The sequence below is a fragment of the Homo sapiens genome, chromosome 21 (assembly GCF_000001405.40).
Source record: "Homo sapiens chromosome 21, GRCh38.p14 Primary Assembly".
Classification (NCBI taxonomy): domain Eukaryota; kingdom Metazoa; phylum Chordata; class Mammalia; order Primates; family Hominidae; genus Homo; species Homo sapiens.
In genome coordinates, this window is record NC_000021.9 from 7,808,405 (window position 1) to 7,831,452 (window position 23,048).

General features: G+C 48.3%; 1 protein-coding gene and 1 non-coding gene across 4 annotated transcripts, besides 1 other annotated feature; both read right to left on the minus strand.

The window, feature by feature from the left end:
* Nucleotides 1–23,048: part of a sequence alteration artifact (region identified as an assembly artifact by the Genome Reference Consortium. This region falsely duplicates sequence located at GRCh38 chr21:34374240-34495759) that runs on past both edges of the window.
* Nucleotides 8,273–21,228, minus strand: LOC102723475 (potassium voltage-gated channel subfamily E regulatory subunit 1B). Of its 3 annotated transcripts, none has more exons than NM_001369869.1 (3): nt 21,113–21,228; nt 20,238–20,320; nt 8,273–11,268 (listed from the first exon to the last, which is right to left on the minus strand). In NM_001369869.1, the coding sequence occupies exon 3, from the start codon at nt 11,225–11,227 to the stop codon at nt 10,829–10,831; it is 399 nt and encodes a 132-aa protein (NP_001356798.1). In that variant the 5' UTR covers nt 11,228–11,268; nt 20,238–20,320; nt 21,113–21,228; the 3' UTR covers nt 8,273–10,828. The 3 variants fall into 3 exon arrangements, with proteins under 3 accessions (NP_001356798.1, NP_001316994.1, XP_006724009.1); NM_001330065.1 differs by having other exon boundaries at nt 20,238–20,348; XM_006723946.3 differs by lacking the exons at nt 20,238–20,320; nt 21,113–21,228 and adding an exon at nt 16,970–18,902.
* On the minus strand, nt 17,694–17,821 carry LOC124900474 (small nucleolar RNA SNORA11). Its single transcript, XR_007067947.1, has one exon. It is a non-coding gene; the product is annotated as a small nucleolar RNA SNORA11 (small nucleolar RNA).

Consider the following 23,048-nt stretch of genomic DNA (forward strand, 5'->3'; position numbering starts at 1 on the left):
CTGGTGGATCACCCGAGGTCAGGAGTTCGAGACCAGCCTGGCCAACATGGTGAAACCTCGTCTGTACTAAAAATACAAAAATTAGCCAGGCATGGTGGCACGCACCTGTAGTCCCAGCTACTTGGCAGGCCGAGGCAGGAGAATTGCTGGACCCTGGGAAGCAGAGGTTGCAGTAAGCCGAGATTGCACCACTGCACTCCATCCTGGGCGACAGAGCAAGACTCTATCTCAAAATTAAAATAAACAAACAAACAAATAAATAAATAAACAGGCAGATAGATCAGTGGAACAGAATAAAATCCAGAAATAGACTGAAAACATTCAGGAAAACAGTATAAAATAAAGGGGACATTTCAAATCAATGGAGAAAAGATTAGTTATCTCAGAAATGAATGGGACGATTGAGTAGACTGGGAAAGAGTAAAACTGGAGCTCTACACACACCAAAATACATTCCAGATGGGGCTAAGATTTTATATATCTATATATGTTTAAATAAAGCCATGAAAGAACTAGAGCAAACATGAGAGATTTATTTTTATAATCCCAGACGGTGGCAATCTTTCCAAGTGTGGCACAAAAGTCAGAAATCATTAAAAAAAGACTGATAAATCCAACTACACAAAGTTAGACATTTCTTTATGGCAAAAAATGCTATCAAAAAGTCAAGAGATCAATGATAATGGGGGAAACATTTGTAACACATACAATAAGCTGTCCAATTTTTTAATAGTCAAAGACTTTAACATTAAGAAACAGACCAGCTGGCTGGGCATGGTGGCTCGAGGCTGGGGGATCACTTGAGGTCAGGAGTTCAAGATCAGTCTGGCCAACATGGCAAAACCCCGTCTCTACCAAAAATACAAAAATTAGCTGGGCATGGTGGGGCATGGTGGTGCATGCCAGTAATCCCAGCTACTCAGGAGGTTCTTCTGGCTTCTCAGCTTGCAGACAGCCTATTGTGGGACCTTATGATTGTGTGAGTTAATACTTAATAAACTCCTGTTTATATTATGTGTGTGTGTGTGTATATATATGTGTGTGTGTGTGTGTGTGTATACACACATATACTGGAATATATGTATATACATATATACATATATACACATACATATATATACACATATACATATATACACATATATATACACATATACATATATACATATATACACGTATACATATATACATATATACACATATACATAAATACATATATACACATATATATACATATACTATATATATACATATACATATATTCATTCCATTAGTTCTGTCCCTCTAGAGAACCCTGATGAATACAGTGGGCTACACACCTATTGGAATGGCCAAAACCCAGAACACTGACAACACCAAATGCTGGTAAGGATGTGGCGTTTTTTATCCGCATTCATTGCTGATGGTAATGCAAAATAGTGCAGCCAGTTTGGAACACAGTTTGGCAGCTCTTTACAAAACGGCGTGTACTCTTACCATACGATCCAGAAACTGTATTCCTAGGTATCTACCCAAAGGAGTTGAAAACTTGTAACCACACAAAAACTTGCACACAGATGCTCATAGCAAGCTTTATTTATTATTGCCCAAACTTGGAAGCAAACAAGATGTCCATCAGTAGGTGAATGGATAAATAAACTGTGGTGTATCCACACAGTAGAATATTATTCAGTGCTAAAAAGAAATGAGCTATCAAGACATGAAAAGACATGGAGGAAACTGAAATGCATATGACTGAGTGAAAGAAGCCCTTATGAAAAGCTACATACTGTATGACTCTAACTATGTGACATTCTGAAAAAGGCAAAACTATGGTGAAAACATCAGTGGTTGCCAGCAGTTGAGACGGGTGGGGGGAAGATAACCAGGTAGAGCATAGAGGACTTTAAGGGCAGCGAAAATGCTCTGTATATTACTACGATGGTGGATACATGTCATTATACAGCAGGTCCTTGGATGACACTATCTCATTCAACATCATTTTGCTATAAAGTTGATGAGAAAAAAAAGTCAATTCCTAGCCAGGCCACTGTCTCTGTGGAGGGTGTGCGTTCTCCCCATGTCTGTGTGGGTTTCCTCTGGGTCCTCCAGTTTCCTCCCACATCCCAAAGCTATGCACGGTAGGTGAACTGGCATGTCTACATGGTCCCAGTGTGAGCGAGTGTGGAAGTGGGTGAGTGTGCCCTATGATGGAAGAGGACCCTGTCCAGGGTTGGTGTCTGCCTTGACCCTGTGCCTCTGGGATGGGCTCTGCCATCCACAGCTCTGAAGTGGAATAAGCCAGTCAATAATATTCTCGCTTGTTTTTTGTTGTTGTTGTTGTTTGTTTGTTTTTGTGACAGAGTCTCACTCTGTTGCCCAGGCTAAAGTGCAGTGGCACTAACTCGGCTCACTGCAACCTCCACCTCCAGGGTTCAAGTGATTCCTGTGTCTCAGCCTACTGAGTAGCTGGGACTACAGGCATGCGCCACCATGCCCAGCTAATTTTTGTATTTTTAGTAGAATCAGGATTTTGCCACGTTGGCCAGGCTGGTCTTGAACTCTTGACCTCAGGTGATCTGCCTGCCTCAGCCTCCCAAAGTGCTGGGATTACAGGCGTGAGCCACCGTGCTCAGCTTTCACTTGTTTGTATTAATCTTTCCTAAATGTATGTATGGCTCACATTTATTTCAATGTTTAGTATTAGAAGTGTTTGAGGTCTTTGTAAGTTTGGTGATGTTTTGTGACCAGAAACAGGCCATAGGAACTTAACTCTTGTTTATATTAATTAGCTTATGGTAAAATTGGATAAATGTTTTATAAGAGACATGAAAGGGCATACAGACACACAGGAGAGAAGGCCACGTGAAGATGGAGGTGGAGGAGACAGTGATGCAGCCACAAGCCAAGGGATGCAAGCGGCCACCTGCAGTTGAGAGAGGCAGGAAGGATCCTCAGAAGGCATGGAGCCTACGAGGAAGCCTGGCCCTGCTGGTACCTTAATTTTGGACTTCCAGCCTCCAGAACCATGAGAGATTACATTTCTGTTGTTTGAAGCCACTGATTTTTGTGGTCATTGGTTATGGCAGCCACAGGAAATAAGATAATCACCCACTTAATTTTCCTAGAAAAGCTGTGTTTTGAAAGTCCTCTTGAAGCCTGGGTTCCTCTCTCTGCATCTCCCAGTTTTCCCTCAAAGCTTGTGGATTCTCCATTCCTCACATTAACTCAGGCCTTTCATTGCCAAGTGACCCCGAGTCCTGCCTTCGCGGGTGCTGGGGGAGCCTTCCTGACCCACTGGAAGTGGACCTGCCCATCTCCTTGCTGTGAAACTGCATGAGGGGGCTTGTGTCTGAGGATTGTCTGGCGTGAGGGGAGAGACACCACGTGGGGACAGAGGAGTGGATGAGCAGGCCGGGGCATGACGGGGCCGTGACAGGGACCTGGCCTTCCATTCTGTGGAAGCCTGAGACAAGCAGCAACTTCTCTCATTCCTCCTCTCTATGACAAGACAGGAACTGGGACACTCACCTTACTACCCTAATTCGCTGAGCCTCGGAAGAAAAGCAGCTTAGATTTTTAATCCCATCCAAGATGGAGGCCCTCCTGCTCCTGCTGCCTTGTTCTCACCCCCTTTCGTGATGTGCGAGGCCATCGGAAGGTGTGGAATTTCTCCACTGATTCCTCTCATTGTCCCTTTCTCCCTACTCCTGGGGAGGCTGCAATGGTGACCTCATCCACCTTCAGAGGCAGGTGCTGGAGGAGGAAAGGATGTGGGAGTTCAAGCCGGCTGCAGAGGCCCAAGAGCCCAGATGGTGTCCTTCCAGCAAACTGGAGAGGCACTCCTCCTACCAGGCAGCCACTGCCCCACTCCAGGGCCCCTGGCTCAGCTAGGGAAGTGGGGCTGGGTTTCACCCCCTGCTCATCCCCTAAGGCCCAGTGCTGGACTCAGTGCAGCACCTGCCCAGCCATCTCTAGCAGCGGCATAAAGCATAAAATCAAGGCCAATGTTACGTGCTGCCTTGACATGTGGTAAAATGTGAAGGGCCTCAAGTGGCCTAAATGCAAGCTCCTGTCCCACCTCTGCTCCCATAAATAGGGTCTCCCAGCTGGGCAACCCTTCTCATCCCAGGGACCAGGTACCACCCCTGTTTGTTGCCAAGTAGCAGGCTTCAGTTCCCTGCCAGTCTGCGGAATTATTTAACAACCTCATGAAGAAACCAGGGGCCACTCCACCCTCTGTATTAGCCTGTTCTCAGGCAGCTAATAAAGATACCCAAGACTGGGTAATTTATAAAGAAAAGAAGTTTAATTGACTCACAGTTCCACATGGCTTGGGAGGCCTCAGAAAACCTACAATCATGGTAGAAGGGGAGGCAAACATGTCCTCCTTCACGTGGCAGCAGGAAGGAGAAGTGCTGAGCAAAAGGGGGAAAAGTCCCTTATAAATCCATCAGATCTCATGAGAATTCACTCACTGTCATGAGAACAGCATGGAGGTAACCCCCACATGATTCAATCACCTCCCACTGGGTCCCTCCCACGACATGTGGGGATTATGGGAATTACAATTCAAGATGAGATGTGGAAGGGGTCACGGCCAAACCATATCACTCTTGTTACTACCAAACCTGCTGTCCAACAACCCTGCTGTTCACTCTGCTCTTGAGCACCACCTCATGTGGCCCTGCATAGCCTGCAGTGGCCCTTCCCCTGGGCTACGAGTATATGTGACTAGAAAATTGCCGTGGGTCTCACCTATCCAGTGTTGGGTGTTGTGTGTCCAGCCCTAGAGTGGGACTCCTTCCCTCACGAATGGGGTGAATAGAAGGTGATAAAAAGATCTGAGTCTAGGGATACCTAGGAGGTGGAATCTCTTCTCCATGCATAGCATGAGTGATCACAGGCCTGAAACCAAAAGGGACTTAGGTCTGGGGGAGAGATTATTTTCCAGGTGCTGAATATTCCTGGGATAGGGGAGGGAGCTAAACAGGTTCCTGCCCAAAGGAAGTGAGAAGGGGGTCCTAGCAACTTCTCAGGGATTTAGAGCTGTGACTCCAGGGCCTTTGTTCAGAGGAGCTACCTTGCAAGGAACTTCTAGAAGAATGCTTCTCTTTCTCAGCATCCATCCTCCCATTTCATAGTCGTGCCCACGATGGGCCCCGTCTCCCTGAACTTGATGGCTGAATAGAAGTGTAGCCTCCCAGGGGCATCTAAAGGCACTCAGAGCCCCTTACCCAGCCCCAGCAGGCACCTGCCTGGCTGCCCGGTCCTCAGGGTTCCCTGTGCATTGAGCAATATCCTCAAAGTGACCACCAGGGGGCAGCAGCACCCAGACTGCCTTCCACTGCACCTGCAGATCAACAAATTCCAGTATTTTGGGGGAATATCTGTGATAACTTGGCTACTGCTTTACTGACCTCAGGTAAATAGACAGACCAATGTGCTTGAGGAGCCAATTGCTTTAAATCTCCTGACTCATTTTTTGTATTAAGATTTGTTTTATTTATGCAATTATTCTGTTTACTCAAAGACTTTACCAGAAGCTGGGTGCAGTGGCTCATGCCTGTAACCCCAGCACTTTGGGATGCCAAGGTGAGAGGATCGTTGGAGCCCAGACATTGGAGACCAGCCTGGGCAACATAGTGAGACCCCATCTCTACAAAAAATTTAAAAATTAGCTGGGCGCCACTCATGGTGGCTCAGGCCTGTCATCCCAGAACTTTGGGAGGCCAAGGCAGGTGGATCACCTGAGGACAGGAGTTCGAGACCAGCCTGGTCAGCATGGTGAAACCCCGTTTCTACTAAAAATACAAAAATTAGCTGGGTGTGGCGGTGGGCACCTGTAATCCCAGCTACTCGGGAGGCTGAGACAGCAGAATTGGTTGAATCTGGGAGGCAGAGGTTGCAGCGAGCCGAGATTACACCACTGCACTCCAGCCTGGGCAACAGAGTGAAACTCAGCCCTCCATCCCGACCCCAGAAAAAATTACCTGGGCATGGTGGTTTGAGTCTATAGTCCCAGCTACTCAGGAGGCCAAGGTGGGAGGATAGCTTGAGTCTGGGAGGGTGGGAGTCTGGCTTGAGTCTGGGAGGGCGAGGCTGCAGTGAGCTATGATTGCACCACTGTACTCCAGCCTGGGTGAGAGAGCCAGACCCTATCTCAAAAAAAAAAAAAAAAAGTACCAGCCCCTATCTACCCATTCATAGCTTTATGTCCATTTCTTTTGTCTTCAAGCACTGGTATCCTTTACTTATCTCTCCTCACCTGATCTAGTGTTTACATCTCATTTGCGCCCATAGAGAAGTCATACACTGATGTGGATTTTAGATAGGGCACGCTCTCAAGACAGCCACATGTATTATTCTGTGCTCACACAGCCTGGCCTGGAGATGCAAAGATTATGGAATCCAGAATCTAAATGAGAGGATCAGATTAATGGGATGTTCTCACAGTGTCAGGTGAGGACAGCCTGATGCAGCCTTTCATCATGAGGCTGGGACCTCTGGGTCCCTTGGCCCCAGGACCACACTCGAGGACATGCCTGTTCCTGCCAACATGGCTGGGCAGAGTTCCTCTTTTCTTTCCTTTTCTTTTCTTTTCTCTTCTCTTCTCTTCTTTTCTTTTTTCTTTCTTTTCCTCTTTTCCTTCCTTCCTTCCTTCCTTTCTTCTTTCTTCTTTCTTTCTTTTCTTTCTTTTTCTTTTTCCTTCTTTCTATTTTTTTTTGAAATGGAGTCTTGCTCTGTTGCCCAGGCTGGAGTGCAGTGGCACACTCTTGGCTCACTGCAACCTCCACCTCCCGGGTTCAAGCGATTCTCCCACTTCAGGCTCCCAAGTGGCTGGGATTACAGGCACCCACCACCACACCCAGCTAATTTTTGTACTTTTAGTAGAAATGGGGTTTCGCCATGTTGGCCAGGCTGGTCTCAAACTCCTGACCTCAGGTGATCCACCCGCCTAGGCCTCCCAAAGTGTTGGGATTACAGGCGTGAGCCACCACACCCTAGCCCTGAGTCTGTTTATGCTTCTGTCAGGTGTGGCATGGGCCTGCCTGGGAGCTATTCTTTTTCTGTAAAGCACAGGCAGTTAATCAGTGGTCTCTGGGAAGAATCCAGCTCAGGGTTATATTTCGTTTGACCCACTCAAGTTTTAAAAAGTAAATTAGTTGCCAATGTGCAAACATTAGAAGAGTTCACAGCTTCTCCAACAATACCTAGAAGTTCATCCGATGGTGCCCGCATTCCCTGCTCTGTCTAGATGGTGCCCACATTCCCTGCTCTGTCTAGATGGTGCCGACATACCCTGATCTGTCCAGACAGTGCCTACATTCCCTGCTCCATCTGGATGGTGCCCACATTCCCTGCTCTGTCCAGACGGTGCCCACATTCCCTGCTCTGTCTGGACGGTGCCCACATTCCCTGATCTGTCCGGACAGTGCCCACATTCCCTCCTCCGTCCGGAAGGTGCCCACATTCCCTGCTGTGTCTGGACGGTGCCCACATTTCCTGCTCCGTCCAGACAGTGCCCACATTCCCTGCTGTGTCTAGATGGTGCCCACATTCCCTGCTCCGTCCAGACAGTGCCCACATTCCCTGCTCTGTCTAGATGGTGCCCACATTCCCTGCTCCGTCCGGACGGTGCCCACATTCCCTGCTCCATCCGGACGGTGCCCACATTCCCTGCTCCGTCCGGACGGTGCCCACATTCCCTGCTCCGTCCGGACGGTGCCCACATTCCCTGCTCTGTCCAGATGGTGCCCACATTCCCTGCTCCATCTGGACGGTGCCCACATTCCCTCCTCTGTCTAGACAGTGCCCACATTCCCTGCTCCGTCCGGACGGTGCCCACATTCCCTGCTCTGTCTGGACGGTGCTCACATTCCCTGCTCTGTCTAGACAGTGCCCACATTCCCTGCTCCATCCAGACGGTGCCCATACTCCCTGCTCTGTCTAGATGGTGTCCACATTCCCTGCTCCGTCTAGACTGTGCCCATATTCGCTGCTGGCTGCAAATGCGAGGAGTTGACAGCAGCCTCCCCTTTACAAGGCAGGAGGTGCCACTGTTCGCCATTGTCTCCACCTAGGGCTTCACTTGCTTTCTATCTGCAGACATCAGAGGGACCCACATCTCTCTGTTCTGACACGCTGTGTGTTGATGGCAGAGTTTAATTATCCACATGCAATCTTACTTTCCTTATTCCCAAGTCCGTGGGGCTGCCTCATCAAAGCATTGTAAGAACTGATAACCATCTTCTAGAAGTATCATAGTGATATTAAGAACACACATCACAGATCATAGTAAATGGCTTTAATTTTTTAACGAAATCTCACTACTGCAAATGCATTGTTGTCCTAGCTAATGAATGCACAGAGTATTGCCTGCAAAATAATAATTGAGATTCTATTTTTAAGAAGCTTAGAACAGTACATGGTGCATAGCAAAGACTCTGTGTATGTGAAGCCAGATTTTAAAATATGGTAACAAGTGTCTGAAAATATGTGGCTCAATTTGTCTCCCGGTTACTTTTCCCTCTCCCCCTTTAAAATGTAGAGGAAGGAGAAGAAGAGATAAGAGGTTTGTGAGTGAAGACAAGGGCCCTTTAAGGCCTGGGAAGACTAACGCCATAGGGATCTCCCTCTGCCTTAAAAGGCACAGGAATCTTAGTGGGGAAAAAGAAGTGGTGATAAATAGCCAGTCCGTGTGCCTGGAATATCAAAGTCAGTGCGTGCCAGGGATCACACTGCGGGTCACGTGCACTCTGGGTCTCTCTCTGCAAACCTGCCCTGCCTCAGTCTGGGAATATGCAACTGCCTAAGAAGGGTCTGGCTTACACAGGGGCCGTGAGACGTGGCAGGCATAGCTGGGCTGCTACTGGTCATGAATCCTGGACACGGCAGGCAAGGTGTGGTGTCCATATGCATTATTCGGGTGGGGCAAAGATCACAGCTCTCACTAGACTTTCAGAGGACTTTGTAACCCAAAGAACCACTCATCTCAAGGACTGTGGTAACTCAGGGGCTGAGCCATGCCAGTGTTTATTATGTGAAACAAGGACTGGAACCTCACAAGACCAAGTCTGTCCATTTGAGGATGGCCCAAGATGCACACGGGCTGCTTTTATCTTATGCGCAGGTTTTAAAAAAATATGTTTCATTTAAATATTCCATACTCTTCAGGAATGCCCAGGCAGCTGAGCTTTCAGGATGTCGCATTGCAGAGGACTCCAATGCTACATATGGCAGCTGGAGACCCTTTCAAGGCAGGTGGCAGAACGGAGGCCCTCTCTATCTGCTGGGGCAGCCCCTCCGGGTGCCCCGCTGGAAGGCAGAGCAGCTCCATCTCTGGGTGGGTGAGAGGTGCTGCATGGGCTCACTATAGTATCCCAATACTGTATGGCAGTAGGCTGCCAGAGTATCCTAAGCTGGGTGGCTTCAACAACAGGTACTGACTCACAGTTCTGGAGGCCAAAAGTTTGAATTCAAGCAGGGCTGTGCTTCCTCTGAAACCTGTGGGAGAGGAGCCTTCCTGGCTTCTTCCCGACTTCTTGGGATGGGGATGCGCATCCATCCTCGGCCTTCCTTGGTTTGTGGCTGTGTCACTGCACCCTCTGCCTCTGTCACGGCATGGTGCCCTCCCTATGCATCTGTGTCTGAATTTCCCTCTTCCGATAAGGACTCCAGTCATATTGGGTGAGGGCCCACCCCAATGACCTCATCTCAACTAGATCATCTGCAAAGACTCTATTTCCCAATTAGGTCACATTGAAGGTACCTGTCTTTTTGGGGGATACAATTCATCTCACAAAACCGGCCCATCACCTCAAAAGGACCTGCCACCCCAGTGCTATGTGTCCCTCTCTGCCCAGAGCCACTCCTTCCCCTGGCTCTCGGGGAGTGGGGGCACCTTTCCCTGCTCCCACAGTGACCGAGCACCTTCCCCTTGGTATGCATTCTGAAGGGGGCATTTTTTTCTCCTCCATCTCAGCCCTGTACAAAGCAAGTTCTTTCTAGATTGAGGTGTGTATGTGTGTCTATGTATATGAGTGTATGTGCCTGTGTGTTTTCAGGGAGATGTGTGCAGGATGGGTGCAAGGGAGGAGTGGAAGGCGGAAGGGCAGGAGGAGGATAGAGCCACAAGAGTGAGCACAGAAGTGACAAGGGCAGAATCAGTGTGTGCTTGTGACAAGTATGGAAATGTCATGCCTTTAGGTTCAGTCCTATAAGGTAGGTGTATCAGTAAGGGCATTGATTCTGCGACCTTAACAGAGATCAGAATAACAGTGGCTTAAGGAAGAGTGGAGTGGATTTCTCTCTCCTGTAAATCTGGCCTGGTGGGTGGTAAGGAGGATCCACGTCGCCCAGGCCCAGATGTGTGTGGCTCTTTGAGTGCCCCATTCTTTCCCAGTCTCATAACTGCTCTCCACCTCCTCCACATCCAGCCACTGGGAAGCAGGACAAAGTTAGTTAAGGGCACGTTCTTTTCTTTCCAAGGATTACTTGGACATTACAGTCTTCACTTCCATGCCTACTGGCCAGGGCTTAGTCACACAACCTTGCTAGCTGCAAGGGAGTCTGGGAAATGCAGCTGCTATTCTCAGAGGCCATGTCCTCAGGGATTCTGCTAAATTTAGCAAGGCAGGGACAGATATGGGGGAACCACTGACAGTCTATCACAAAAGAACGTGATTTTAGAGAAACAGTGAAACAGTGTCATTAATCCACCCCCCACCCCTTACAACAGCCAAAAAGAAATCCAGTGGTATCCATCACAATAAAGAGTATGAGAGGAATGTGATTAGAAAATCAGGTTGCCAGGCAGGATGTGTCCAGTTTTAGCCAGTGGTGGGGTTCATGGGGAAGGCTTCGTCTCAGGAAGGTGTGTGTTGGGTTGTTCTATGGCCAGATGGTTTTCAACGACATAGCACGACCTGTAGCTCTCCAGGACCCGGGCCTGGACATAGGCCTTGTCCTTCTCTTGCCAGGCATTGGACTCGATGTAGACGTTGAATGGGTCGTTCGAGTGCTCCAGCTTCTTGGAGCGGATGTAGCTCAGCATGATGCCCAGGGTGAAGAAGCCGAAGAATCCCAGTACCATGAGGACGTAGAGGGCCTCCAGCTTGCCGTCACCGCTGCGGGGGGACCTGCGGGCCAGGCCCGACATGTTGCCACCCTGCTGAACTGTCTCCTGCCACAGCTTGGTCAGAAAGGGCGTCACCGCTGTGGTGTTAGACAGGATCATCCTGGGCATTAAGGTTCCACTGCTGCAGCTCAAACTTCCCAGGCACACCTCTTAAAGGAAAAATGCAACCCCAAATCAAAAAGTACGTATTGGCCAAAACCCACACGTACGCACACACACGTATACAATTTTAAAATCTCAGGTGAGAGGGGTGAGCTGACACTCCACAGGCCATGGCGTGTGCCATCTTGGGTCTGTGCAATGCCTTCTCTTGATAGATGAATGGATACATTGATTCCCTTCTATTTCCATCCACCACTCCAATCTCCACCCCTATAGGTGACCATCAGAATGAGCTTCTTTAATATGCATTGCTGCATATTGTGGCGTATGGGGTCGCATGTGTGCATTTTGGTTTACCTAAATGGTATCAGGTCATCCAACTCATTCAGTCTCCTTCTTTTTCCTCATGACTGTGCTTTTGTGGCTCACTTGTGGTGCTGGGTGTGTGCATTCCCTTGCTTCCAATGTTTGTATACAACCCATGGTGAACACCCACTTCTTTTCTCTGCCTTCTCCCCCAGAGATGGACACTGCTGTGGCTGCTGACTCCATAAACAAGGGGGAGACAAATATCCCCATCCTTGACCTCCTATGGACCTAAAAAAAATCACGCATCTCATACAACTAGTTCCTGGCGGCTTATGCAAGACTAGTCAGACTGGTTGCCCTTGGAAGCAACGTGCAATTGGTGGTCTGTTTCACCACAGAGCATCTCTCTATGAACAGTTACATTCATCTGAATGAAAAATCTATGCTGTCACGTGGTGGACTTCAGAATGTCTAGGGAGATTTCACAGAGAGCTCCCCTCGAAGAGGCCAGTGCTGTAGCTTGTGCTATGTTTTTCCCTCCCTGCCCACACACAGGCACACACACGTACACAATCTTAAAACCTCAGGTGAGAGGGGTGAGCTCACATGCTCCCTAGTCCATGGTATGTGCCGTCTTGGGTCTACACAATGCCCTCTCTTGATTGAGCAATGGTACATGGATTGCCTTTTATTTCCATTCACTACTCTCTGGCTATGCAGAAAGTGACATTTTCCCTATCGTTTAATCTTGATATCACTGTCCCTGTATACTCAGAGTGGGCCTGGGAATTGGAAAAATTGTCTCCAAGTAGCTGTAAGATTCTGTCAGGGGTTTGGTTTGCTGTGGAAACCCCATCTAGGTGACCTTGAGATCATTGGTAAGCTGAAAAAAAACAGGTCTTGTTTTTATTTATTTATTTATTTATTTATTTAGGTTTGAGCAAATGCCAGCCTCTACCCCCAGTTCCTGCTGGGAAACAAAAGCTCCGAGGCCAAGTTGTTGATGTCACATTCCAAACTCAAGCCAGAGGGGGCCACTGGGAGCTTATCACACGTAAGTGCTCCCACTCAGTTCTTTCTTTTTCTGTTTTATTGAGACAGGGTCTCACTCTTGTCACTCAGGCTGGAGTACAGTGGCACAATCTTGGCTCACTGCAGCCTCAACCTCCTGGACTCAGGTGATCCTCCTACCCTACCCTCCAGAGTAGATGGGACTATAGGTATGCACCACCATGACTGGCTAATTTTCGTATTTTTTGCAGAGGTGAGGTTGCCCTATGTTGCCGAGGCTGGTCTTGAACTCCTGGGCTTACAGGATCCGCCCACCTCGGCCCCCCAAATTGCTGGGATTACAGGCATGAGCCACCCTGCTTGTCCCCTGCTCACTTCTTAGGAGCTTAAAGTAGCTGAGTAGAACATGGCCTGGAGTAGAACATGGCCTCGGGGGGACTGTTGTAACTACAGGTGAAGGATGTATTTGGGAAGACAGTTTATGGCCAGAATCGCTATGGAAAGACAAATTCCAACACTTGCCAGGACGGCGCTGTCTTTCCCAGCCAGGATGGGGACTGTGACATTGCACATCATCTTGTGTAGGACAAATAACCTCAGAAACCTAGCTCCTCTCCAGCTTAGACCCAGAGCTATTTCTTCATTGAATTGGTTTAATTGTAAAACATACCCTGAACCCAGCACCAGCTGAAGACATCTGGCACCTTTCCGAGGCCCCTCTTCCTCTACCCATCTCTGAACTGTGGCTGTGTCTCAGAGTTCTGTTACCTGCTCTCTTCTCTTCCTACTCTCCTCTCTCCCAGGGTGACTGCACCTGCTCCAGGCTCACCTGCATGGCCATGACCCAGGGCTCTCTTTAAGCTCCAGAGCCATGCGTCCAGTGACCTGCTAAGGAGATGGTTCCCTTTGGCCATCCCCAGGCTCCTTAAAGTTAACACTCCACCCTGTCCTGTCAGAGACTGGCCCCTGCCTCACTGAGCTGAGTGGCAACACCACTCACTCCAAAATCTGCATCACTCTCACTGATGACTGCAATCTCATCATGGCAGTTCCCATCTTGAAGGCCTTCCTTGGCTCCTCCCTGCCTTCAGGGTGAAACTCCTGGTCTTCTGCATGGATACAGGCCCTAAATTTGAGAGTCTATGCATCCCTCTCCAATTCCACTGTTGCCACTGTGCCCAGACCCTATGCTCCATGGTCCCTGCTGGCCCCAGAGCCTCTACACATTGTGCGTCTCCAGCTCAGACTGCGCCTTCTTCTTGGCCCATGAAACTTCTCAGCAATGCCTACTCATGCTTAAAATTCAGCCCAGCTCTCACCTCCTTCCCGAAGCCTGCTCTGATACATGGGGCTGGATCAGCACTGTGCACACCATGACCCCTGCTAACCTCATCATGGTCAGGATCTCCAGGCCCCTTATCCCATCCCTGCCCTGCCATCCAGCCTGGTGCTGGGCACGCAACCACACAGGAGCTGCCCATGAATGTTTATCGAATAGATGCCACCAGAACTTAATACCTTTTGACCAGTGGGGCTTGACTCTTTATAACCTGCTTACTCCAATGAACAGATGCCAATGAGCTGTCTCCGAAGCTCTAACTGACTCCCTTTTCCAGAAGGGCAGTCATCTCCCACCCTGAACCACAGTCTCAGAAGGCAGGAGTGAGGAGCAGAAAGAGCTCAGATTTTGGGATTCCACTGCCGCCACAGGTTTGGATTCTAGCTTTGCTACTTCCTGGCCACATGATCCTGGACAGTTTCCTTAGAATTGTTCAGTCAAGTTTTTTTTTTTTTTCTTTCCAAAGTAGCGAGAAACACCACTGACATTTGCGGGCTGTTGAATCCCTGAGCAGGTGTGTAGAGTGGCTGACAGCATGTGGCACATGGCAGGTGCACACTCAGTGGTCCTGGGTAGGAGTTTATTGGTTTTTCTACCTCATTAAGAAATTGCTGCCCAAGGATTTGGGGCTTTGGGGGTTTAGGCTTGGCTTTCCTGTGGCTGACCATGGCGGCTGTCTTCTCTACGTTGTGGAGAGATCAGACATGAATGAGAATCAAAGATTGTTTGTGGCCTTTCCTGGTTTCTAGGCTTTTGAGTCTGTGCAGAGATCTGTCAGGGGTTAAGCTGCCTGGGCTCAAGAGATTCAGGTCCTTGTTCTTGTACAAAACTAGCATTTAGCCCCATTCTAACCATCGGGGTAGGCAGGAATTGTTTGGTAACAGATCCAAACTCAACGCTCAACCATTTCTTTTTAAATGACCCGAAACCACTTATGAATGCATAAAACCCTGCCCCAGAAAACAGACAGACCTGGACCTGATACTATGATGTAATTTCCAAAAACCCAGAATGATCACAATTGGCAAATAATTCTGCCACCAATCACTGTTAGAGAGTCTTTCCAACTTCATGACCATGTGAGGGTAGAATTATGGCAGGCGACATTTGAAGATCCACAAGTTAATTGGTTTAAAACTGATAAATCCATACAGCAAATTAAGAGTTACATCTGCAATTAATTCATAATAGTGAGTTCACTGAGAAGGCTTGTTACTTAGATCCAGATGGACTTTCTTATGTCCAAAGAAGCAACCAAAAACATCTGCTTTGAAAACCTCCCAAGCCCAAACCATCCTCAGCCTTGTTCTTTAGAATGCTTTAGAATGACCTTGTTAAAATGCAGATTGCTCCTGTAATCCCAGCACTTTGGGAGGCCAAAGCAGGTGGATCACTTGATGTCAGGAGTTTGACACCAGCCTGGCCAACATACTGAAACCCCGTCTCTACTAAAAATACAAAAATAAGACAGGCGTGGTGGCGGGCACCTGTATTCCCAGCTATTTGGGAGGCTGAGGCAGGAGAATCACTTGAACCCAGGAGGTGGAGGTTGCAGTGAGCCAAGATTGTGCCATTGCACTCCTGCCTGGGTGACACAGCGAGACTCTGTCTCAAAAAAAAATGCAGATTGCTGGGCTCTATTTTCAGAGTTTCTGATTTGGTAGAACTGGAGCAGGCCTGGGAATCTGCATTCCTAACACATTCCCACGTGGTGCTAATACTGCTGGTCTGGAGGCCCTGCTTGGTGATCTATTGGAATCACCGGGGGAGCTTTTAGAAAATAATGGTTCCTGGATCTCACCCCTAGAGATTTTAATGTCTTTGGTCTGGGTTCCTGCCTGACTCAGAGACTTTTTAGAAACCTCCCAAATGATCCTAATTTGTAGCCAAGATTGAGAACCACTGGGCTGTGGTGTGGGACCCTAGGAAAATGACCAATGGCCTTTTGTGCTGCAGGGTACCTGGAAGAATTTTGCAAAAATATAGAAATATGATCTCACTGACTGTTTTTCAAATCTTGTTTGTTTTTTACATTTTCTTTTTTGGCCTTGTTTGCCTCTGATACAGTCTGAAAAGAAATTGCAGAAAGAAACTCTCCAGTCTTCAGTGTAACCTCAGCTGTCCCCAGTCTCACACACGCTGGTGCCTTCAATTACAATTCTCCTGTCAGAGCTTAAGTCCGGCTAATTAACTGCCTTTCAAATGACAACCCTATATTTTTAAAGAATTTTTTTAAAACTTCACATGTAATTTATTGCATTGCTTTTGCTAAATGTCCTCCACACCCCCAATGCCTGCTAGGCTGGGTCGCCATGGTATTTTTGTGTAACGAGTCTCAAAATGAGTTTGGCAATGTCTCCGTAATAGTCAGCATGGTGTAAATGACAGTCTGGATCTGCATGTCATTTGGGATTTTATATCAGATTCTCTAGGTTCATTTCTATGATACGTGATGCCAAAGCACCCACATGCCCCGTGGCTGCACTTTCAGACAGTTGGACTCAAACAGAGTGGGAGAGCAACTGATCCAACAATCTGAATTTTCAGAAAACGGGGCTCCTTAGAGATGAGATGGCTTGCCAAAAGTAATCTCTCCTATCAGAAGTACATATCCTCAGCAAACTAACGCAGGAGCAGAAAACCAAACACCGCATATTCTCACTTATAAGTGGGAGCTGAACAGTGAGAACACATGGACACAGGGAGGGGAACAACACACACTGGGGCTTGTCGGGGAAAGGTGGGTGGGGAAGAGCATTAGGGAAAAGAGCTAATGCACGCTGGGCTTAACACCTAGATGATGGGTTGACAGGTGCCGCAAACCATCATGGCACATATTTATGTCTGTAACAAACCTGCACATCCTGCACATGTTCCCTGGAACTTAAAAAAAAAAAAAAAGAAACAAAAACAACCAACCAAAAATATATCTAAAATGTCATCTGTTAGCAATTGACTCACATATTATTAGTATAGAAAAGAGCAATTCCCAGGACCTTGTACAGAGGAAGCAGGCTCAAAACAGCTGAGGAATAGGCCACTTTTATCAGATAGCATTGGATCCATGCACATGGGGGTTGGCTTCTTACCTAAATATGCCATCAGAAATCATCCTTGTTCCTGTCCCCTCAGCTTTTGTAGCTTGCACAGTGAGTAAAGGGATGGTGGAGGCAGAAATGGTAGGAGCCAGAGATGTTCAAAATCCATCTGATGCTTGGCCTGTGCTGAACGTTCTCAAACTGTGGCCTTGTCAGGCCCAGAAAGTGGGGTGGATTCCTGGCCGTTTCTGCTTCTGCCTGGGTGTGAGATGTGAATGCTGCCCCTACTGAAGGGTAGTGCAATTTTTTTTTTTTCTTAAAAGCTTAGACCCAGAGCTGCTAATCTACTGGAAATCACTCAGGACACAGGGCTCTGGGCAGCTGCGCTGAGCGAGACACCTGCAAATGGAGACCAACGGGGCCTCCAGCACCCTGGAGTTCCGTAAGGCCCCCAGCTGAACCCAGGGGAGAAGAGGGCAGTGGGTGGCGCCTCGCTGCTCTGGGCACACACCACCTCTTCTGACTTCTCCCACGTGCTCCGGCTGTGTCGCCTATCAGCACTGATAACAGCCTGGAAGCTTTCAGAACAGAAGCTTTCCCAGCATGGGAAACTCTCATTCTTTCTTTTTTTTAATTTTCCAAAGCCTTTATTTCTAAGACCAACTGTGGCCTACCCGTGCATAAACTGGGCAGGCTGTAGACAGCAGGCTTGCCAAGTAAATACTACAGCCTTCCTCCCAATATTGAGCCCTGTCCCATTGATCCTGCAGGGGAGATGTGTAGGGCATTTGTTCACGGGGAGGCCACAAGTTTGGGCCTCTCATCACTGTGACCTCACACCCCTGTTGAGTGTGTCGTAAACAGAGGAGCCGTTCTTCAAGCCCCCTGCCCTGAGTGCACCCCTCTCATTCTTTTGTTATTATTAGCAAATTCCCCCAGTTCCTGATCATTCTTTCTTAAGCCTTTAGTGACTGGGTAAGGTTCTTGTGGCTGACTCCAAGCTTTCTTCTAAAAGGAATAGATTCTAGGGGTGAGTAGAGGAGACAGGAATGTCGGAGTCAGAGCTCAGGAATCTGGGTTCCAGCCCCAGGTCAATCCTAGATAAACTAGAGGGCTCCTTAACTTACTTCCCTAGGTTGACTCTGGGTTTTTTTATCACGCTCGACAGGACTCCTTATGCATTTCTTCGAAAGAGCATCCAGTCTTAACATCATCATTTGGCCTCATTTGGTTTAAGAAGCAGAATTAGGGTAAAAGCAATGATGGATAAGCCTCATTTTGGTGAATATGATCTTATTGAGACAAGAATTCTGAGTCAATTGTCCTTGGAACCAACTGTCTATTGTTTTCATCTTTATCACAACACTATGTCCAAATTTTGGAAACATGTTTCCCTCCTAGCAGAAAAGAAGCCACCCAGGGCCACCAGATGCTTCCCGACACTTGGCTGGCTTTGTCTGGTCTTCTATCCTTCCCCTATCCCCAGAGTCAGTGGGTACTAAGGTGGCCAGGGTCGCTCAAGGAATCAGAATGCAACCGTCCAGAGGCCCAGAATCAGACTGTCCTCTCTGATTAGGAAAGTGTTTCCTGCCACCTCCCAGGGGGATGTGGGGTGTGGCTTGAGTCTGGTGCTTTTACCAGGAGCTTCCCAGACCTCTCTATGGGTGATGGAGAGAGAGTCTGGGGTGTGAAGGATGGAAATATAAACACTGAATACTCAGAGAGTCAGGCCAGCGAGCTGGTGAGGAGACTCCATCAAACTCAATATGAAAACATGGGTGGGCGTTTGGGGATGGATAATGAATGACAGCTGAAGTCACACATCAGGAGGGAAGGAAGGACTCTCATCTTCAGCAAATGACATAAATCTGGGGAGCCTCAGTTTCCTCACCTGAACAGTGAGAATGATGGAATCTACCCTGAGTATATATCCCAGGTCTTTGTGCAGCATGGAATCAGCCCCCAGCCTTCCTAGCTCTTGCTTTATTTTATTTTATTTTAGAGACCAAGCCTCGCTCTGTCACTCAGGCTGGAGTGCAGTGGCGCGATCTTGACTTACTACAACCTCCTCCGCCTCCTGGGTTCAAGTGATTCTCCTGCCTCAGCCTCCTAAGTAGTTGGGTTTACAGGTGCATGCCACTATGCCTGGTTAATTTTTGTATTTTTAGTAGAGACGGGGTTTCACCATGTTGCCCAGGCTCAACATGCCTGGGCTGAAGCGATCCACCTGCCTTGGCCTCCCAAAGTGCTAGGATTACAGGCGTGAGCCACCGTGCCTGGCCTCTTGTTTTATGTTTGCTGTTCTCGCTGTAGGTGAGGCATTCCCACCATATTCCCTTGTTAAAATCCTACTGGCCCTTCAAATGCCAGCTCATATCCACACTGTGTCTGACCCTGATCCAGAATCCTCTCCCCTTCTTTGACCCCTTGTATATATCTTTCCTACAGTGCTGGTCATATTCTAACTTCTAATCATTTGTAGACTTATCTGGGCATTTTCTCCCAGGAGGTCCCAAAGGACAGAGACCATCTTGCTCACCTTTGTCCCCACTCCAGCACCCAGAATGTTTCAATAAGGTTTTCCTGAATTAAGTGGGAAGCAAAGTATTAGATTCAATACCACTACAATGGGAAAGTGAGTGAATAATTGATAAAGTATACTATGCTCTGGAAATAGATTATTGAGTAATCAGAGGAAAACCTCTTGCAATGTAGTATGTTTTTATATATTAAATTTTATATTATTTATTTATATTTATATTATTAACATATTTTTGTTATTCATTTTGTTTATTAAGATTTACTCTATATATATATGTGTGTGTGTGTGCGCGTGTGTGTGTGTGTAACCCACCTTATTTCTAAAAAAAAATTTTGGCAGTCAGTGACTATTAATAGTAGAGCACAAACTCTTAACCTTTTTTTCCTCCCGCTTTCCCAGAGTCCTTATCACCTTCTAATATAATAAAGTTTTCTTAACTGTGATGTTGATTGTTCAACGTTTGTCTTTCCCACCAAAATGTAAGCTATTGCGGGCAGGGATCTTTGCATGGGTTGTTCTTCATTGCATCCCAGGCCACTAGAACAGTGTGTGGCATATGGCAGGAGTGCAATAAACATTCAGCGAATGCAGGCAGGCATGCGTGAACGCATGAATAATAAGTGTTCCTTTCAACTACCAGAAAGAGCGAAACCACACAGGAGCTGTCTCACCCTCAGAGATTTAAGACGACAGCAATGAGTCCCTCTGATGTCTTCTAAGTGAGCTTTATTTTCAAAACAAATCATTTTCCAATAACCTATCAAAAGCAGGTCCTACCTGAATATCCTTGGCTATTTCCTCTGGATACAGATAATGCCTTCCTCCAATGGATCCTCGGCTCACCTGATGATTGTGTGAAACTGGCCAGAGAAAGCAGAGGGATTTTTCCTGGTGATTGGAAATCAGAGTCACGGCTGAATTTAAGCAACTGTGTGAACTCAGCAAAGTCCCCACCACCTGGACCATACATGACAGCTATGGTTATTGACAAGGTCCTTCCTTAATGGAGCTGGAACCTCCTTCTTAATCTAAATGTGGACTCAAATGAACTGTCAATTCACATAGAGCAATGTGACAAATCCGGGGGGCAAAGCATTATGCAATAGATTGGGCACATGCGCACGTCTCTGCTACTTAGTCAACTTTCTTCTAAAGTTTCCCACTTTTCCCATTACCACAATCAAGATCAGATATCAGTAATATTCTCCGCGTCCCATGCCCTTTCCTCAGGGAGATGCCAAGGCCCAAGAGCTGGTCCCCCCAAAAAGCTGAAGGTCTTTGAAAAAAAGTGGGGACTCAGGTCCCGTGAGTGGTTTTGATTTTCTTTTCTTTTGAAAGTTGCATGTAAGTGTTTTCCAAATACTATACAAGAATGTCTATAACTTAATAATGGAGGAATGTTTTCGTTGTTCTGTGTTGGTGAGATGCTTTCCTATGCGTTTGTTGTATAAGTAAGTGAGAATGGCAGAAGGAAAGGAGGGGAGAGGCTGATCATCCTATCCCGTCTCCCACTCTGGGGGTCTCGGCGCTTCCAGCCTGAAGCGCGCCCGCTGCGCGTCCGGAGACGCAGGTTCCAGGAGCCCCCCGGGGTTGCCCGACTAGGCCACTTGCGCCCCGGAAGAGGGCCGCGGAGGTGGGAGACCCTAACTTACCCGGGTCTGAGATGCCGAGAGAGCCGGGTGTGGAGCTGAGTGCGCGCCTGCCGAGCGCTGAGGCCACAGACAGCCCCGCCCCGGGGCGGCACCTTCTAAGGGCCTGAGCGCTGCACAGGGATGGGGGCGGGCGGGGCCTCCCAGAGCCGCCAGGCGTCCCGCCCCACTCCGCCCACACGCACGGCCCAGCCCAGGGTTCCCCGGGACCACCCCAGACCAGCCCCGGCCCCCCCGGGTCCTCCACACTCTGCACCCCAGACCAACACCAACGCGCGTAGGGAAGCGTTTTAGATCCTGTCGGAGAGGCTCAAGGCCGGCAGAAGGTTTGCATTAGGATCGAGAAAGCCGACCAACGGACAGATCTACCTACCTTCCTGCGGGAGTTTGAGGTTGCCAGGGGGGAAGCCACTGCAGCCAGGAGAAAGGCCGTCTGGGAACCACCCCACCCTCGGACGTGCGGGCCTTCAAATATCTCTGAACATAATCCTCCAAAGACCGCTCAACCTCCGCTCCCGACGACTCTTTCTAGCCTCGTCCCGCACCCCAGCTGTGGCCACACACCTATTAGGCAAACATTTATGAAGCACCCACTTACTGGGTGTGCAGCCCTGAGCTGGGGGTGCAGCTGTGGACCAGACAGGAGGGGGCCCGGAGCGGCAGACAGTCGCTGGAGGCACCCGAGCCTTGGCGAGCACACCCTAACGTCCTTGGGGCCTTTCAGCCCGAGCCGTCCTTGTCCAGAGAGCAAACCATGCAATGATGCAGGTGACTTCCCAGCAAATTTCATAGCGTTGCTCACCAGCTTGGCAGGCAAGAGGAGAAGGGGCAGTCCCCAAAAGACAATCCCATGAACCTTCTAGGGAATGACGTCCAGGCTCCAGGCTCCTGCTCTGCAGGCGGGTCGCAGAGGCAGGTTCCTGACCTAGGACTAGAAGACATTCTCTAGGGTCACTGCCTCCATGGTCTTCCTTGGCAGGTCACTTCTTCCTGGGCTTCGACCTCGGTGTTCTCATGGGGACGAGGGTGATTGGAGGCCCTCCAAGGGGTGCACCGATGTGTCCTGTGCACCAGGCAGAACCAGCATTGCCCTACAGTGTGGGTGCAAAATGAACCCACATGGCCACGTTGGAAAGTCCTGAAATGTTCATAGCCTATGACATGAAATTGCACTGTGTGAAATCTATTTATTCTTTTTTTTTTTTTCTTTTTTTTCTGAGACGGAGTCTCACCCTGTCGCCCCGGCTGGAGTGCAATGGCACGATCTCGGCTCACTGCAACCTCCACCTCCCTGGTTCAAGCGATTCTCCTGCCTCAGCCTCCCGAGTTGCTGGGATTACAGGCACCGGCCACCATACCCTGCTGATTTTTTGTTATTTTTAGTAGAGACGGAGTTTCGCCATGTTGGCCAGGCTGGTCTCGAACTCCTGACTTCAGGTGATCCACCCGCCTCGGCCTCCCAAAGTGCTGGGATTACAGGTGTGAGTCAGCGTGCCCAGACTGAAATCTATTTATTCTATGGAAAGGATCAGAGCTGTAGAAAAATCCTTATGCATGTAAAAGTTCTTTGTGTTTTTACTTGCAATAACTAGAATCTAAACATCCAAAAATAGAAAATATAGGTAATTAAATTGTAGTACATATGATATTATTCTACATAGTAGAATATTATGTGGAGTCCTTAAAATGTTTACAAATAATTTATAACAACATGGGGCCGGGCACAGTGGCTTACACCTGTAATTCCAGCACTTTGGGAGGCCAAGGTGGGTGGGTCACCTGAGGTTAGGAGTTCAAGACCAGCCTGGCCAACATGGTGAAACCTGTCTCTACTAAAAACACAAAAATTTAGCTGGGCGTGGTGGTGGGCACCTGTAATCCCAGCTACTTGGGAGTCTGAGGCAAGAGATTCACTTGAACCCAGGAGGCGGAGGTTGCA